Here is a 19,735-nt window from a genome sequence, read left to right on the forward strand (position 1 = left end):
AGGCAGGAGGGTCACTTGAGCTCAGGAGTTTGAAAAATATTGGGGAAAAAAATTGCATCTGTACTAAACATGTATAGGCTTTTCTTTCCTTGTCGTTATTCCCTAACAAGACAATATTCACACGTCATTTATATTAAGCTTTTTTGTTTGTTTGTTTTTTGTTTTTGTGGTTTTTTGCTTTTAGAGACAGGGTCTTACTCTGTTGCCCAGGCTGGAGTGCAGTGGCACCACCATAGTTCACTGCAGCCTTGAACTGGACTCAAAAGATCCTCCCTTTTCAGCCTCCCAAGTAGCTGGGAGGGACTACAGGTGCACGCCGCCAAACCCAGCTCATTAAAAAAAAAAAAAATTTGTAGAGATAGGATCTTGCTATGTTGCCCAAGCTGGTCTTGAACTCCTGGCCTCAAGTGATCCTCCTGCCTTGGCCCCCAAAGCACTGAGATTACCACACTTGGCCTCAAACAGCCCTCCTTGTCCCTGTTAGTCTAGTAACCTCGTCTAATAACTGTACCTCGTGTTTATTGACTCTCAGGGAATTGCATCCTCTTTGGAGACGATCTCATGTCTATGACTTGAGTTAAGCATCAGAGATGTTCTCTTTTCACGGAGCTAATAGTCCATTACTGGCAACTGACATTAAAAACATGACCCACACCCACCTCTGGGGAAGAGCTGCCCTGGCACTTGGCAGCCTCCCGGGAAAGGTAGTTGGGGTGAGGGTGTCACCCCCAGAAGGAGGTGGTGAAATGAAGCATCCACATCATACAGTGGCGACCAGAGGAGGAGAGCTTCCTATATTCCCGGACCCCAGCCGTGCCTCAATGAGCAGAGTTCTTACTGGAGCCGCAGAAGCGTATTAACCTCGCGACCCCATGACTTGCACAGAAGCGGGTTCTTTCTCCACACTCCCTGCCTCCGTGGGCGACCGCCTTCATCCTTAATATCCAACGTGACATGAAATATCTACAATAGCAACCAAATCACTGACACCAGATGCGATGTCAAATGCTCTGCATTACCCAAACAGCTGAATCGGGGCCGCCATCCGCACTTCCAGCTTCAGCCCTGGAAAACCACCCTGTAGGGTGCACTGGGGCTGCGGCTGCAGCTGTTACCTGGCAGCTTAGCTCAGGGAGCCCTCTCCTCTGCCCTTCCGGGCTGGCCAGGTTAGGGGCTCTCTGAGACAGTGACCCCCGGAGGCTCCTTTTCAGCTGCTGTCCTTTGTGTAGCATCAGTTGCTCTCCAGGGTTCACCACCTCCTGAGAGGACTTCACAGCTGCTCCGGGAAAGAACCACTCCCTCCTTGCCCTTTCTTCTCATTTCATTTTCCTGAGAAGTCAGAGCCATTCACCGCTCACTGCATAATCAGTTTTATCAAGATACTAATGAATTTAAGAGGCTTATTTGTCCCCTTGGATGTCGCTAAATGCCCACTGCTCAGAAATACAGCTGTGTCATCCTCCCTCAATTTCCATCCGCACTGAAGCTATGACGGAGCAGGAGCTTTGTTTTGCTTGGGGCAGCTGCCACTCTGTGACACACATCAAAGGGTGTGCGCTTCCACCCGCATCTCCCAGGCGCGCAGTAAGTGGCATTTCAGGGAGTTTGATGGAACCATCTGAGTAAGTACTTGTGTTTAATGAGATTCATTCTTCATGTGTTCCCACTAGCCGCAAGACGGTTTTGCATTTACCGGAATTGTAACACCATAACACTCCATTTTAATGACGGCCGGTGGCAGCTGGCACCCCAGTTCACAGCACCAACTTTTTGTTAATGATATGCAATTGGAATATATTTATCCCCTATTGAGAGATGGGAGCACAGCAGCCAATTGGCTTGTGCTTGTCTGACTTAAGCATAAGGATCAGAGTAACAAGGACCCAGTTTTCATGACCTGTTATCTTTTGCTACGTCCCAGGTCCCGAGAGCCTTGAAGACTCATAAATCCCCACTGAAGATCATGAGCCTGAGCATCTGAGAAGCAGCCAGGACTTTGTTCCTAATTATTTGCAAAAACAGGCTCCTTAGGCTTGCATCAGAAGTCCTTTGGAATAAAATCAGACCTCAGGAGGATGCCTACAGGTAGGAAGAACATGAAGAAATTTCATTCATTTATTTATTCACTCAATAAACAAATTCAAACAATAAACAATAAAGAAGCAGGCTGGGGCCAGACATGGTGGTTCACACCTGTAATCCCAGCACTTGGGGAGGCTGAGGGGGGGTGGATCACCTGAGGTCAAGAGTTCAAGACCAGTCTGGCCATCATGGTGAAACACCATCTCTACTAAAACTACAAAAATTTAGCCTGGCATGGTGAAACATACCTGTAATCTCAGCTACTTGGGAGGCTGAGGCAGAAGACTCCCTGGAACCCAGGACATGGAGGTTGCAGTGAGCCGAGATCACACCACTGCACTCCAGCCTGAGTGACAGAGCGAGACTCTGTCTCAAATAAATACATAAAGAAAGAAAGAAAGAAAACAAAGAAGCAAATATGTAGAACATCAGAAGAAGAATCATGAAAAGAAGTAAATTTTGGTTAAATAAAGAATGTTGGAGTCTCAAATTGATCAAGAGGATGTTTTTGTTACCTTAGGAGGGTTCAACTGGATTGCAATGATAAGAGAGCTGAAATTGAAAACATTTTAAAATGAGCAAGCCAACTCTAAAAGATCTCCAAGGCAAAGAAACCCTGACCTTCCCACAGTGATTTCAGCTCATTTTTAGACCCATTTAGTGTCTAAGATTTAGAGGCACAGAAGATCAGAATCTGCCTGTCCTGACATAGCATCCAATCCTGAGAACAATGAAATAGTCACCCTCATTTGACATTTTTTTTTTCTTCTTATAAAAATTATATAAACTCTGGCCAGGCGCGGTGGCTCACACCTGTAATCCCAGCACTTTGGGAGGCCGAGGTGGACGGATCACCTGAGGTCAGGAGTTCAAGACCAGCCTGGCCAACATGGTGAAACTTCGTCTCTACTAAAAATATAAAAATTAGTCGGGTGTGGTGGCGGGCACCTGTAGTCCCAGCTACTCGGGAGGCTGAGGTTGGAGAATCGCTTGAACCCAGGAGGTGGAGGTTGCAGTGAGCCAAGGTCATGCCACTGCACTCCAGCCTGGGCAACAAGAGGAAAACTCTGTCTCAAAAAAAAAAAGAAAAAAAGAAATATATATATACATATACATATTCATTATAAAGACTGCAGTCATTATCTATAGAAAATGAAAAGGAAAAGAAAGAAAAAGAATTGAAAACAAAAAGTGAAAAGGGAAAGAAAAAGAAAAATAAATAAAAAGTGAAAGAAAAAGAAAAAAATCGTCCATAATACCATCACCAAAAATAGCTTCCATCAAATATTGGTTAGAGACATACATGTGTTTGCATGTGTTTACATGTGTTTGCATGTGTTTATATTTTTCCCACAAAAGGGTGAGCATACAGTATATCTCAGTCTGTTTGTCTTGCTACAAAGGAAAATCAGACTGGGTAATTTATAAAGAAGAGAGATTTATTTGGCTGGCAGTTCTGCAGGTTGTACAAGAAGCATGGTTCCAGCATCTGCTTCTAGGGAGGCCTCAGGAAGCTTCCACACATTGGGGAAGGTGAGGAGGAGCCAGTGTGTGCGGAGATCACATGGCAAGAGAGAGCGCAAGGGAAAGAGAGGGGAGGCACCAGGCTCTTCTTAACAGCCAACTCTTGAGGGAATTAAGAGTGAGAACTCACTCAAACCCCCCACCCCAGGGAAGGGATTAATCTATCCATGAGGGTCCCACTCACATGACCCAAACACTTCCATTAGACCCACCCACAACACTGGGATCAAATTTCCACATGAGGTTTGAGGGAGGGACAAACATCCAAACTGACACCCTCCATTTTGTTCTATATCTTCTGTTTACGTTTACTTTCTCTCCCATGCCACTTAACATCTGCACAGTCATTTAGAATTGTGGGATCATTGCCTAGTTTTCCATGGAATAGATGTAGCATAAATAACTTTACCTAACTCCTGAAAGAAAAAGAATGTCAGGGTGAGGGTAGAGTTTGTTATTCTGTGTTGCTTGGTCAGAATGCCTGACTGAAAGGCTGGGTTTGGTGGCTTGCGCCTGTAATCCCAGCACTTTGGGAGGCTGAGGCAGGTGGATTACTTGAGGCCAGGAGTTCAAGACCAGCCTGGCCAATATGGTGAAACCCCATCTCTACCAAAAATACAAAAATCAGCTGGGAGTGGTGACAGGTGCCTATAATCCCAGCTACTCAAGGGGCTGAGGCATGAGAATTGCTTGAACCTGGGAGGCAGAGGTTGCAGTGAGCCAAGATTATGCCACTGCACTCCAGCCTGGGTGACAGAGCAAGACTCCATCTCGAAAAAAAAAAAAAGAGATCAGGAGCAATGGCTCAAGCCTGTAATCCCAGCACTTTGGGAGGCCGAGGCGGATGGATCACGAGGTCAGCAGTTTGAGACCAGCCTGACCAACATGGAGAAACCCCGTCTCTACTGAAAATACAAAATTATCTGGGCATGGTGGCACATGCCTGTAATCCCAGCTACTCGGGAGGCTGAGGCAGGAGAATCACTTGAACCTGGGAGGTGGAGGTTGCAGTGAGCTGAGATCACGCCATTGCACTCCAGCCTGGGCAAGAAGAATGAAACTCCGTCAAAAAAAAAAAAAGAAAGAAAGAAAGGAAGGAGGGAAGGAAGGAAGGAAGGAAGGAAGGAAGGAAGGAAGGAAGGAAGGCAGGCAGGCAGGCAGGCAGGCAGGCAGGCAAGCCTAACTGACAACAGGACACTGAGGATCACCCTGAAGGAGGAGGAGTGGATAGCGAGTCATGCTGCTCTCTGGAGGAAGCCTGTTTGGGGTGGGAGGACAATGCCAAGGGCCCTAAGGCAGGACTATGCTTGGAATGTCCAAGAAAGAGCAAAGAGGCCACAGGCGAGGAGGTGAGACTATAGGAGACAAGTTCAGAGAGGGAGTAGAGGCCGAGTGATACAAGACTGTGACCAGCGTCAGGTTGTGGGCTACTGCTGGGTGGAGGAGAAGCCAACAGTTTTACACAGAAGACAGACATGCCCGATTACATCTTAATGGGCTCCCCAGCTTCTGTGTTACCATAGACTACCGTGGGCAAGGGCAGGACAGAGAGACCCGTCAGGAGCTGTACTAGTCTGCAAGGGCTGCCATAACAAGATACTGCGGCCTGGGCAGCTTCAGCAACAGACATTTGTGTTCTTACAGTTCTGAGACTAGAAGTCTCAGATCAAGGTGTCAGCTGGTTTGGTTTCACCAAGGGCCTCTCTCCTTGGCTTGTGCACAGCCACCTTTGTGCTGTGTCCTCACATGGCCTGTCCTCTGTCTGTGCACCCCTGTGTCTCTTCCTCTTCTAAGAACAACAGTCGTATTGGATCACGGCTCCACCATTATCATCTCCTTTCACTTCTTTAAAGGCACTATCTCCAAATATAGTCATGCCAGGGATTAGGGCTTCTGCATATGAATTTTGGGAGGACATAATTCAGTTCATAACAGGAAGTGACTGCACTAACCCCAACAAGAGAGGACTGTGCTTGGACCCTGGTCTTACCAGTGGAGATGGTGAGAAGGAGCTGGGTTTCAGCTCTTTTTCTGAAGGCTGAATGAGACAGAACCATTTTTGTCCCAGCATTCGTGAGTATCAAGAATGAGTGGAAGGAAGACATTAAATTGTGAATGCTAGAAAAAAGAGTAGTGAAAGGGTCAGGGGGCTGGAAGGAATTTTCTTTTAGCTCCTCTGTTTTTTAGCCTCTTAAAACAAGCCTGTAGTGCAGTCTAACTGAAAGAAAGTAGAAATATGAAGGCATTTTTATTTTAATATAAAAATTTATTTAAAAGCCTTTAGCTCTTGAAATTTAAAAGTACAATTAAAAAATAAAGAAAGGCATTTTGTTAGCTTTTTATTGAAATATAATAAACTTTCAGTAACATGCACGTATCTTAAGTATACAGCTCAATGAGATTTTACATATGTACACACTCATGTAACCACCTCTCATGTCAAGATATAGAACATTTCCAGTTATCTGGAAGCTTCACTCATTGCCCTCTCCCAATCAAGAGCTCCCCAGAGGTAACCACTATCTTGATTCTAACAATATGAATTGGTTTTACCTATTCTTGTACTTTGTATAAATGGAATCAAGTGATGTGTATTTTTGTGTGTGCATCTTACTCTTTTCACTCAACATTATGCATATGAAGTTTATCCATGCTGTTTCATGCAGCTAAAGTTCATTCACTTTATGGGTGGGTTAGTATTCCGTTGTATAAATAGACCACAATTTACTTATCTCTTTTATTTCAGATGAAGAGTTGAGTTGCGTTCACCTTTTAACCATTATAATGTAAGTACAGTTTCAATAAAAATATCTATGTATGTCCTTTTGTTAGGCATATGAACTCATTAGGAAAAGCATTTCTTCTCATCAAGTAAGAAATAGTTCCCTTTCTCAATTAAAAAGTAGTCCCTTTTCTGGCTGGGTGCAGTGGCTCACACCTGTAATCCCAACACTTTGGGAGGCCAAGGCGAGTGGATCACATGAGGTCGGGAGATCAAGACCAGCCTGGTCAACATGGTGAAACCCTGTCTTAATTAAAAAAAAAAAAATTAAAAAAGTAGTCTCTTTCCTTCTCTCTGTCCAGAATCTTGTTAACAACAAAAATGAACACTTTAGGACTCCTCAAGCATGATCACTTTCAGGATGGTGCTGGAGCTAGTTCATCCAAGCTCAGGAGAGCCCATTGTTAAGTTTTCAGGAATCTTGCAAACTGAATGCTAACCACAGACTTTATTAAAAGTAGATTTATATGCATTTCAATTAATTTCAAAAAAATTGAAGAGGAAAGAATACTTCCAAATTCATTATATGAAGCCAGCGCTATCTTGATATGGAAGTCAGACAGACACTACAAGAAAAGAAAACTACAGACCAATATTCTTGGTGAATATTGACATAGAGATTCTCAAGAAAATACTAGCAAATAGAGTTCAATAGAACAACTAAAATATTATACATGATGACTAAGTAAGATTTATTCCTGGAATGCAAGGATAGTTCAACATATGAAAATCAAACAATGTGATATATGACATTAAAGATGTATGACACTAGAAGAAAACTATGACCGGACGTGGTGGCTCACACCTGTAATCCCAACACTTTGGGAAGCTGAGGCAGGTGAATCACTTGAGTGCAGGAGTTTGAGTCCAGCCTGGGCGACATAGCGAGACCCTGTCAAAAAAAAAAAAAAGAAAAGAAAAGAAAACTGCCTCAACATAATAAAGGCCATATATGAGAAGCACACACAACTAACATCATGTTCAATGCTAAAAGACTGAGAACTTTTTCCCCAAGATCAGAAACAAGGCAAGGATGCCCACTTTCACCACTTTTATTTAACATAGCACTGAAAGTCCTAGCCAGATCAATTAGGCAAGACAAAAAAAAAATGCATCAAATTGCAAAGGAAGAAATAAAATGATTTATGTTCCCAGACAACATGATCTTTTAGGTAGAAAACCACAAATATTCCACCAAAAACATCTGTTAGAACTAATAAACAGATCCAACAAAGCTGCAGGATACAATCTCAACATGCAAAAATCAGTTGCACTTTTATATACTAACAATGAATAATCCAAAAGGAAATTAAGAAAATAATTCCATTAACAGTAACATCAAAAAATATATATATTGAGGAATAACTTAGCCAAGGAGGTAAAAAATGACACACTGAAAACTACTGCCAGTTACAGTGGCTAATGCCTGTAATCCCAGCACTTTGGGACGCTGAGGCAGGTGGATTGCTTGAGCCCAGAAGTTTGAAACCAGCTGGGCAATTTGGCAAGACTCTGTCTCTACAAAAATAAAAATTAAAAAAAGTAGCCAGACATGGTGGTTTGCGCCTGTAGTCCCAGCTACTCAGGAGGCTGAGGTGGGAGGATCACTTGAGCCTATGAAGTCGAGGCTACAGTGAGCCATGATTACACCACTGCACTCCAGCTGCCTGGGCAACAGAGCAAAACCCAGTCTCAAAAACGAAAAGAAAAGAAAACTACAAAACATTGCCAAAAGAAATTAAAGAAGACACAAATAAATGGAAAGATATACTGTGTTTGTGGGTTAAAAGACTTAATATTGCTAAGACGTTGATATTGGCCAAAGCAGTCTATAGATTTAATACAATTCCTATCAAATCTCAAGGGCATTTTTTGCAGAAATAGAAAAACCTATTCTAAAATTCAGACACCAGGGTTCCTGAATAGCTAAAGCAATCTTGAAAAAGAACAACGTTGAGGCCAGGCGCAGTAGCTCACGCCTGTAATTGCAGTGGCTCATGCCTGTAATTGCAGCACTTTGGGAGGCCAAGGTGGGTGGATCACCTGAGGTCACAAGTATGAGACCAGCCTGCCCAACATGGTGAAAGCCCGTCTCTACTAAAAATACAAAGATTAGCAGGGTGTGGTGGTGCATGCCTGTAATCCCAGCTACTCGGGAGGCTGAGGCAGGAGAATTGCTTGAACCCAGGAGGCGGAGGTTGCAGTGAGCCGAGATTGTGCCACCGCACTCCAGCCTGGATGACAGAGCAAGACTCCATCAAAAAAAAAAAAGAGAGAGAGAAATAAATAAATAAATAAATAAATAAATCTCGTCTCTACCAAAAATGAAAAAAATAAAATAAAAATAAAAATAAAAAAAGTAGCCAGGTGTGATGGTGGGTGCCTGTAATCCCAGCTACTTGGGAGGCTGAGGCAAGAGAATCACTTGAACCTGAAAGGCGGAGGTTGCAGTGAGCCGAGATTGCACCACTGCACTCCAGCCTGAGTGACAGAGTGAGACCTGGTAAAAAAAAAAAAAAAAAAAAAAAAAAAAAAAAAAAAGAACGAAGTTGGAAGTCTCACACTTCCTAACTCTAAAAAATTTATTACAAACCCACAGTGATCAAAACAGTATAGTCCAGCCTGGGCAACATGGCAAAACCCTATCTACAAAAGATACAAAAATTAGCCAGGCATGGTGGTGCACACCTGTAGTCTCAGCTACTCAGGAGGCTGAGGAAGGATCATGTGAGCCCAGGAGGTTGAGGCTGCGGTGAGCCAAGATTGTGTCACTGTATTCCAGCCTGGGCAACAGAGTGAAATGTTGTTTCAAAAAACAAAAACAAACTGTGTAGTATTGGCATACAGACAGACATATAGACTAATGGAAGGGAATAGAGAGCCCAGAAGTGCTCATTTTGGCAGCACACATACTAAAATTGGAAAGATACAGAGAAGATTAACATGGCCTCTGTGCAAGGATGACAAGCAAAAATCAAAAATTATTTTAAAAAATTAAAAGAATACAGGGTCCAGAAATAAACCCTCATACGTATAGTCCAATAGTTTTTAAATTAGGGTCCCAAGACTAGTCAGTGGAGAAAGAAGTATTTTCAACAAATGATTTCAGGAAAACTGGATATCTGCACGCAAATGAATGAAACTGGACCCTTACGCTATATGCAAAATTTAACTCTAAATGAATCCAAGACCTAAATGTAAGACCTAAAATGATAAAACTCTTTTTTTTCTTTTTCTTTCTTACCTTTTTTTTTTTTTTAGAGATGGGGTCTCACTGTGTTGCCCAGGCTGGTCTTAAATTCCTGGGATCAGGCCATCCTCTCGCCTCAGCCTCCCAGAGTGCTGGGATTACAACTGTGAACCACTGTACCTGGCCTATACAACTCTTAAAAGAAAACATAGGGAAAGCACTTCATGACAATGGATTTGGCAATGATCTCTTGGATATGGCACCAAAAGCACAGACAACAAAAAAAATATCGATAAGTTGGACTACATCAAAATTAAAAATTTCTTTTTTTTTTTTTTTTTTGAGATGGAGTCTCACTCTGTTGCCTAGATTGGAATGCAGTGGTGCAATCTCAGCTTACTGCCACCTCCACCTCCCGGGTTCAAGTGATTCTCCTACCTCAGCCTCCTGAGTAGCTGGGATTACAGGTGTGAGCTACCGCGCCTGGCTAATTTTTTTATTTTTAGTGGAGACGAGGTTTCACCATGTTGACCAGTCTGGTCTTGAACTCCTGAGATCAGGTGATACACCTGCCTTGGCCTCCCAAAATGCTGGCATTACAGGCATGAGCCACCGTGCCTGGCCAGATTTTTTGAAAATATAGTGGACACCATGTAACTAATACAGAAAAATTCTAAAGGAAATAAAGATGCTGAATTTCCAGATTTCTTTATAGGAGATGAAATGAAAAAATCAACATCCTATTACAGTTGCTGGAAAACAGATGATGGGTTTTGTTAGAAGAAAATGCCCTTGAACTTGAACCAAGGTAGTTGTACATAAGCCGCCCCTCTGTATCTGCCTTCAGTACTCAGAATTTATTGCCCTCAAGCTGAAGAATGTTAGGCTGGAGATGACACTTTATTTATTTATTCATTTTGAGATGGAGTCTCACTCTGTCACCCAGGCTGGAGTGCAATGGCGTGATTTTGACTCATTGCAACCACTGCCTCACAGGTTCAAGAGATTCTCTTGCCTCAGCCTCCCAAGTAGCTGGGATTACAGGTGCCCACCACTACACCTGGCTAATTTTTTGTATTTTTAGTAGAAACAGGGTTTTGCCCTGTTGGCCAGGCTGGTCTCGAACTCCTGACCTCATGATCCACCTGCCTTGGCCCCCCAAAGTGCTGAGATTACAGGCATGAGCCACTGTGCCCAGCTGAGATGACACTTTTGACAGTAAACAGATAAGCAGCTGGATCCTACTCAACCAGAGCTATAACCAAAAAATCTTCCGAACAGTGAATGACATCACAGCAACAACGGCCTTTCTAGGAATTTTCCAATTCTGTGTTTTAGATTTTAGAGGCCCTAGGCAAAATAGTGAAAAAATTATCCTCAGAGAGCACCCCACCACCATAAGCTCTTCTCCCCCAAAACAAGCTGTGTGTGTCTCCATTTCAGCACTTCATATGGGAGTCTATGCACCTAAGCCTCTCCCGTTCTGTCAGGAAGTAGGTGTTCCTGGTCCCTTCCCTGCTTCTGAAGGTGATAGCCAGCAAATGCCATCACTGAATCTAGACTAACACAAATTGCGTAAAAATATGGCCCTCCTTTGGCCACATACTCACATACTGGCATTTGTATTTTTCTATTATTATTTTTATTTATTTGTTTATTATTACTTTTTTTTGAGATGGAGTATCACGCTTGTCACCCAGGCTGGAGTGCAGTGGCGTGATCTCAGCTCACTGCAACCTCTACCTCCCGGGCTCAAGCGATTCTCCTGCTTCAGCCTTCCAAGTAGCTGAGATTACAGGCACCCACCACCACGCCCGGTTGATTTTTGTATTTTTAGTAGAAACGAGGTTTCACCCTGTTGGCCAGGCTGGTCTTGAACTCCTGACCTCAGGTGATCTGCCCACTTCGGCCTCCCAAAGTGCTGGGATTACAGGCGTGAGCCACCATGCCTGGCCCATACTGGCATTTTAAAGAACCTTCTCCGGTGTCACTAAGAAACCCTAGAGAAATACAGTTGATCTTTGAACAACACGGGTTTGGATTGCAGGGGTCCACTTACATGCAGATTTTTTTTCAATAAAAGCTGCACTAAGTGTGCCTGCCTCTCTTGCCTCGACTCCCACTCCCTCCACAACTTCTGCCTCTGCCACTGCTGGGACAGCAAGACCAACCCCTCCTCTTCTTCCTCCTCCCCCTCAGCCTACTCAACATGAGGATGATGAGGATAAAGACCTTTACGATGATCCACTTTCACTTCAGGAATAGTAAATACATTTTATCTTCTTTATGATTTTCTCAATAAGCTTTTCTTTTCTCTAGCTTACTTTATTGTATAAATATAGTATAGAATACTTATACTAAACATGGGTAATTGACAGTTCATGTTACAGGTAAGGCTTCTGATCAACAGCAGGCTATCAGTAGTTAAGGTTTTGGGGAGTCAGCACTACGGGGGTTGCCAGCTCAGCCCTCACGTTGCTCAAGGGCCAACTGTACTTTTTTTATTTATTTTATTTTTTTAGAGACAGTATCTCGTGCTGTAGCCCAGGCTGGACTGCAGAGGTGCAATTACAGCTCACAGCAGCCTCAACCTCCTGGGCTCAAGCAATCCTCCTGCCTCAGCCTCCTGATTAGCTGGGACCATAGGCGTGCACCACCATGCCCGGCTTTTTTTACTTTTACTTTTGGTGGGGTCTCCCTATGTTGCCCAGGTTGGTCTCAAACTCCTGGGCTCAATCTATCCTTCTACCTCGGCCTCCCAAAGTGCTGGAATTGTAGATGTGAGCCACCGCATTGAGCCCAACTGTATCTCTCTTTTTTTTTTTTTTGAAACAGAGTCTTGCTCTGTCACCCAGGCTGGAGTGCAGTGGCATGATCTCAGCTCACTGCAACCTCCACCTCCCGGGTTCAAGCAATTCTCCTGCCTCAGCCTCCTAGGTAGCTGGAATTACAGGCGCACGCCACCACACCCAGCTAATTTTTGTATTCTTGGTAGAGATATGGTTTCGCCATATTGGCTGGGCTGGTCTTGAACTCCTGACCTCAGGTGATCCACCCGCCTCGGCCTCCCAACGTGCTGGGATTACAGGTGTGAGCCATCGCGCCCCGCAAAAAGTACTATTTCTGAAAATAATTTTTTGTTAGATATTTAGGCGTCACAAGTGCAGATTTCTTAACATGCATATATTGCACTGTGGTAAAGTCTGGGCTTCTAGTGAACCCATCACCTGAATAGTGAACATTGTACCCATGAGTAGTAGATCAACCCTCAGCTCTTCTTACTTTCCCACCTTTTGAGTCTCCAATGTCTATTATTCTATTCATGGGTACCCATGGTCCAGCTCTCACTAATGAGAACATGCAATATTTGACTTCGTGTTTCTGAGTCATTTCACTGAACATTTCACTGAATAATGGCCTCTAGTTCCATCCATCTTGCTATAAAAGACATGATTTCATTATTTTTTATGCCTGAGTAGTATTCTGTGACATGGGCCAGGCACAGTGGCTCACACCTGTAGTCCCAGCACTTTGGGAGGCCGAGGTGGGCCGATCAGCTGAGGTCGGGAGTTTGAGACCAGCCTGGCCAACATGGAGAAACCCGTCTCCACTAAAAATGCAAAATATTAGCTGGGCGTGGTGGTGCATGCCTGTAATTCCAGCTACTGAGGAGGCTGAGGCAGGAGAATCGCTTGAACCGGGGAGGCGGAGGTTGCAGTGAGCCAAGATTGGGCCACTGTACTCCAGCCTGGGCGACAGAGCGAGACTCCGTCTCAAAAAAAAAAAAAAAAAATTAAAAACCTTTTTTTTCTTTTTTTTTAAAATAGAGATGAAGTCTGTGTTGTCCAGGCTGGTCTCCAACTCCTGGACTCTCTCGCACATGCTGAAGTGCAGTGGCATGACCTCAGCTCACTGCAACCTCCACCTCCCAGGTTTAAGCAATTCTCCTGCCTCAGCCTACCAAGTAACTCAGATTACAGGTGCCCGCCACCACGCCCAGCTAATTTTTTGTATTTTTAGTAGAGACAAGGTTTCACCATTTGGCCAGGCTGGTCTTGAACTTCTGATCTCAGGTGATCCACCCGCCTCTACCTCCTAAAGTGCTGGGATTACAGGCGTGAGCCACCGCACCTGGCCTCGTTCTTATGTTTTCAGTTTTCTTGTTGCTGTGGCAGAATGACATCAGGCACAAACAGCTGAACTGCAGCCTGGATTCCCATCTCTGCTGGCTCTCCTGTCCTAAAGCCTAACATCCCTGAGTGCCTTCTGGCAACCTGAACATGGTGGAGCTGTGGCGTCCTTCTCCCTGATTTTTATTGCAAGGCAGCAAGCAAGACACAGTCAGTAATTACCTCCCGGGTAATTGCACAACTTTTGTGTTGTGCCTCACAAGCCTGGTCTCCAGCCACTTACATACGTGCAGGATGGAGAGTCTACGTGATGGGATCTGCCAACCCAAAGGGCATGATTGGAAGATAACCGGCTGGGTTGTGCCAGAGTTTTGTTTTGTGATCTCCCAAGGACACAGCCTTCAGAGAGTTAGAACCAAAAGATCTTAAAAAGCCTTGATATTTGCATAACGAACACTGTTTGTCTCAAATGTTTGGAATAAGTCTGTAGATAGAACACACCAGATTATTATTGTGTTTCTAGAGAAGAAACACATGGAAGTTAATTATGACTATGTAAAATTAAAAGTACCCTGCTGAAAGGTGACAGGGAGGGTGAGGGAGGTAGAGAGAGGTGGAGCCCGGAGCTGTTGCTTTTCATGAAGATTTTCTGTGCAGTTTGGATTAAATAATAATAATAATAATAATAATAGAGGGCTGGGTGCAGTGGCTCATGCCTGTAATCCCAGCACTTTGGGAGGCTGAGGCGGGCTGAGGGCAGAAGTTTGAGACCAGCCTGGTCAACTTGGTGAAACCCCATTTCTACTAAAAAAAAAAAAAAAAAAAAAAAAAAAAAAATTAGCTGGGCATGATGGTATGTGACCGTAATCCCAGCTACTTGGGAGGCTGAGGCAGGAGAATCATTTGAACCTGGGAGGTGGAGGTCGCAGTGAGCCAAGATTACGCCATTGCACACTCCAGCCTAGGCAACAAGAGTTTAACTCCGTCTCAAAAAAAAAAAAAGTAGAGACAGGGTCTTACTCTATCCCCCAGGCTGGAGTGCAGTGGCGTGATCATAGCTCACTGTAACCTTGAGTTCCTGGGTTCAAGCCATCCTCCTGCTTCAGGCTCCCGAGTAGCTGAGACTACAGGCACGTGCCATCACGTGTAGCTAATTTTTTTTTTTTTTTGCAGAGATAGAGTCTCACTATGTTGTCCATCCTGGTCTCGAATTCCTGGCCTCGAGCAATTGTCCCACCTCAACCTCCCAAAGTGCTGGGATTACAAGCATGAGCCACCCACCACACCTGGCCTACCTGTTTGGAATTTTTTTTTTTTTTTGACACGGAGTCTCGCTCTGCTGCCCAGGCCGGAGTGCAGTGGCACGATCTCGGCTCACTGCAACCTCTGTCTCCCGGGCTCAAGCAGCCTCCCAAGTAGCTGGGATTACAGGTGCCTGCTACCACGCCCAGCTAATTTTTGCATTTTGAGTAGGGACAGGGTTTCACCATCTTGGCCAGGCTGGTCTTGAACTCCTGACCTCTTGATCCATCCACCTCGGCGTCCCAAAGTGCTGGGATTACAGCCGTGAGCCACCGCATCCGGCCAAGCTGTTTGGCTTTTTAAAACCAGGTGCATGTAGCAATTTTGTCACAATTTTGACAAAATTAAGCGATATACTAAAAGATAATTAAACAATTCATTTACACCCACCCACAGTCATATAGCATTAAACAGAAAGCAACCTTTGGAGTCTGGGGACTGTATTCAAGGTGCTCTGTAAACATCCATTATATTCTGCTCTTATTCCTTTGCTGCCATTGAAGGTTGAAGTCACACCAGTTACTCAGCAGTCTGTTTGAGAACGTGTTCAGAAATGAGCAGAGACATTCATCAAGAGAAGCACATTTGACGGGGTGAGCTGGAGTCCATCAGACCTCACAACCAAGGGCTGGCAGGAGCTGAGCCCAAAGACCGGCCTCTCCAGAACCATCTTTCCGCCAAGTGAGAGGCTGGGAGGCAGCGTGGATTTGTCACACAAGCGCATTGTATTTTCTGGCCTTAAAGGAAGAAGCCAGCTGGGCACGGTGGCTCATGTCTGTAATCCCAGCACTTTGGGAGGCCACCTGAAGCCAGGATCACCTGAAGCCAGGAGTTCGAGGCCAGCCTGGCTAACATGGTGAAACCCTGTCTTTACTAAAAACAAAAATTAGCCAGCGTGGTGGCGGGTGCCTGTAATCCCAGCTACTCGGAGGCTGAGGCACAAGAATCGCTTGAACCCAGGAGATGGAAGTTGCAGTGAGCCGAGATTGTGCCACTGCACTCCAGCCTGGGAGACAGAACAAGACTGTCTCAAAAAAAAAAAAAAAAAAAAAAAAAGAAGAAGCTGGGGTTAATTTCTGGGCTGGAGCAAATAGATGCATGGCAGCCGCAGACTGGGCCAGTTGAGGATACCCCTCACCAAAGGTCAGGCAGCCCCCTGGCTCTTCCATCCTCTTTGTCAGAAAGAGTATTTTTTGTGATCTTCTAGAATTTTAGATGTGTTCTGCAGAAGGCTCTTCCTGAAGGAGAGGATTCTGAAGCAAAAGCTGTCCACGGTCTCCGGTCTCCGCAGGGGATATTAGAACATGGTGTTCTAATAACAGTCCTTGGCTGCAGCCCGAGAGCTGTCAGGCTTCCTCCTGGGGATCAGGGTGCAGTTGGCGGGAAGATGAAGCAGGCTTGGAACCGGAATGCTTTCTACAGGCATCCTGGGAATGTGCTCTCAGCAGGCCACTCCGGGCACTGGGGACACATGGAACCGCTGCTTTTCTGGGTTAAGTTTCCTTTTTCTACAGGTAAGTCCCAAGAAGACCACCGAGACTGTCAGAATCCCACAGACTTTTTCTCCAAGGGATATTCAATCCCAAATGAATAGAAACTTCCCATGTTCCCACAGAAGGCTTTTTTTTTTTTAATTCTTAGATTTTATTTTGTAGAGACAGGGTCTTGCTATATTGCCCAGGCTGGTCTTGAACTCCTAGTCTCAAGATGTCCTCCCACTTTGGCCTCCCAAAGTGCTGGGATTACAGGCATGAGCCACCACACCTGGCCCATAGAAACGTTTTTAGTTAACAGGTGGAAGGGAACAGGCTTAATTCTTTCTAAATAAACCCAAGTGTTTCAACTAATTTGTTTTAAAAAGCATCCTTTAATATGCCCAACCTTTACTTTTTTAAAAATACTGCTATAATGTTGTTTTTCCTTAAGGTTTATAAACACAGCATTCAAGAAGTTTCTTTTCCTTGTACGATTTTGTCTACAATAAAGAGCATGCTGCTCGGGGTGATCATGTGGTTCAAACTGCCTGGATTCAGCCAGATGTGGGGCAAATTAAAAGAGAGATGATGCTTTTTAGAGTAAAAAACGGCCGGGCGCGCTGGCTCACACCTGTAATCCCAGCACTTTGGGAGGCCAAGGTGAGTGAATCACAAGGTCAGGAGTTCGAGACCAGCCTGGCCAATATGGTGAAACCCCGTTTCTACAAAAAATACAAAAATTAGCCGGGCGTGGTGGTGTGCATTTGTAGTCCCAGCTACTGGGGAGGCTGAGGCAGAAGAATTGCTTGAACCTGGGAGGCAGAGGTTGCAGTTAGCCAAGGTCACGCCACTGCACTCCAGCCCGGGCGACAGAGCAAGACTGCATCTCAAAAAAAAAAAAAAAAAAAAGAATGAAAGTCTTGGCCGGGCATGGTGGCTCATGCCTGTAATCCTAGCACTTTGGAAGGCTGAGGCGGGTGGATCACCCAAGGTCAGGAGCTTGAGAACAGCCTGGCCAACATGGTGAAACCCCATCTCTACTAATAATACAAAAATTAGCCAGGTGTGGTGGCACACGCCTGTAATCCCAGCTACTTGGGAGGCTGAGGCAGGAGAATCACTTGAACCCAGGAGGCGGAGGTTGCAGTGAGCCAAGATCACACCACTACACTCCAGCCTGGGTGACAGAGTGAGACTTCATCTCAAAAAAAAAAAAAAAGGGTAAAAGTCTTTATTTAAAGACAGTTATGTGGGCCAGGGTAGATGTTCCCACCTGTAATCCAAACGCTTTGGGAGGGATTGGGGCCAGGAGTCCAAAATCAGCCTGGGCAACAATTAGACTCTGTCTCTACCAAAAAAGAAAAAAGAAAAAATTAGGTGGGCACAGAGGCACATGCCTGTAGTCCCAGCTACTCAGGAGGCTGAGTGGGGAGGATCACTTGAGCCTGGGAGGTCAAGGCTGCAGTGAGCTGTAATCATGCCACTGCACTTCAGACAACAGAGTGAGACCCTATCTCTATAAAAATAAAATATAATAAAGACAGTAATGGTAAACCAATATTTTAAAAAATGCTTCATTTCAAAATGCTGTGCTTTCTGAATAAAATCTAAAGAAATGGATGTTTATCCATTCGTTCAACATATATTTATGGGGCACTGCTCTGTGGAAGACACTATTTTCAGCCTGGAGTACAGTTATGAATACACAGAAGCTGGGTGCGGTGGCTCAAGCCTGGGATCCCAGCACTTTGAGAGGCAAAGTGGGCAGATTGCTTGAGTCCAGGAGTTTGAGTCCAGCCTGGGCCATGCAGTGAGACCCCATCTCTACAAAAAATTTTAGAAGTAGCCTGGTGTGGTGGATGGTGTCTGTAGTCCCAGTTACTTGGGAGGCTGAGGCAGGAGAATGGCATGAACCCAGGAGGTTGAAGCTGCAGTCAGCTATGATGGTGCCACTGCACTGCAGCCTGGGCGACAAAGCAAGACTGAAAAAAAAAAAAAAAAAAAAAAAACAGAGAGACGGACAGAGAGAAAGAGAGAGAACAATCCCTGCCCTCCTTGAACCAAGGCTTTCACCTTCTAGTGGCAGAAGACAGGTAGGAAATAAACAAACAAGCAAACCACAATATTAGATGGCATCAGTGCTATGGGAAAGAACAAAACAGGGAAAGGAGAGGAAGCCTGTGTGGGCATGCGGGTGTGTGTGTGTGTGTGCGTGCGTGCATGCATGTGTGTGTGATGGTGAGGTGGGATGGAGGGGCTGCAATTCCAAGTAGGGGGTAGTCAGATAAGGTTTTGCTGAGGACAACATTTGAGCCCAGGTGGGAGGGACACAGCTACGTGCAAATCTGGGTATGAAACAGCTGGAAGGCCCGCATGACAGGAGTGGAGTGAGAGAGTTGGAGTTGGAGGTGGTTGGGGAAGTGGAGGGGGTGGGGAAAGCAGGATCACGCTGGGGGAGGGGAGCACAGACAAATCCTACCAGGCCCTGTAGGCCATTTCCCAAAGAGGATGACTTTTCTCTGGGTAAGATAGGGTGTTCTAACACAGAAGTGACACACCATCTTTTTTTTTTTTTTTGAGATGGAGTTTCACTCTTAGTACCCAGGCTGGAGTGCAATGGCGTGATCTCGGCTCACTGCAACCTCCGCCTCCCGGGTTCAAGCAATTCTCCTGCCTCAGCCTTCCAAGTAGCTGTGATTACAGGCATGCGCCACCATGCCCAGCTAATTTTGTATTTTTGGCAATACATGGTTTCTCCATGTTGGTCAAGCTGGTCTTGAACTCCCGACCTCAGGTGATCCGCCTGCCTTGGCTTCCCAGAGTGTTGGGATTACAGGCGTGAGCCACCGCGCCCGGCCAACACACCATCTATTTTAGCATTAAAAGCACTGTTCTGGGCCAGGCTCCGTGGCTTGCACCTATAATCCCAACACTTTGGGATGCTGAGGCAGGGAGATCGCTTGAACCCAAGAGTTTGACATCAGCCTGGGCAACATAGGGAGACGCTGCCTCTACAGAAATAGAAATTTAAAAAATCAGCCGGGTGTAGTGTTGTGCACCTGTAGTCCTAGCTACTCAGGAGGCTGGGGTGGGAGGATCACTTGAGCCCGGGAGGTTGAGGCTGCAGTGAGCCGGGATCATGTTATTGCATGCTAGCGGTGGCAACAGAGCAAGACCCTGTCTTAAAAAAAAAAAAAAATGCTGGCCGAGCGCGGTGGCTCACACCTGTAATCCCAGCACTTTGGGAGCC

At 45.2% G+C, this 19,735-nt stretch overlaps 1 pseudogene, besides 2 other annotated features; it reads left to right on the forward strand.

Annotated features, from left to right (window-relative positions):
• Positions 585–1,252: an enhancer, noted in NCBI's record as "H3K4me1 hESC enhancer chr10:35207011-35207678 (GRCh37/hg19 assembly coordinates)". NCBI's record gives its function as "activates a minimal SCP1, AML or CMV promoter by ChIP-STARR-seq in primed H9 embryonic stem cells {active_cell/tissue: H9 hESC(primed)}" and the evidence as "EXISTENCE:reporter gene assay evidence [ECO:0000049][PMID:30033119]".
• Positions 5,229–5,429: a silencer, noted in NCBI's record as "peak927 fragment used in MPRA reporter construct". NCBI's record gives its function as "represses an SCP1 promoter by STARR-seq MPRAs in K562 erythroleukemia cells {active_cell/tissue: K562}" and the evidence as "EXISTENCE:reporter gene assay evidence [ECO:0000049][PMID:32103011]".
• Positions 9,277–9,384, forward strand: RNU6-847P (RNA, U6 small nuclear 847, pseudogene; annotated as a pseudogene).

Source organism: Homo sapiens, chromosome 10 (genome assembly GCF_000001405.40).
Source record: "Homo sapiens chromosome 10, GRCh38.p14 Primary Assembly".
NCBI classification, from domain to species: Eukaryota; Metazoa; Chordata; class Mammalia; order Primates; family Hominidae; genus Homo; species Homo sapiens.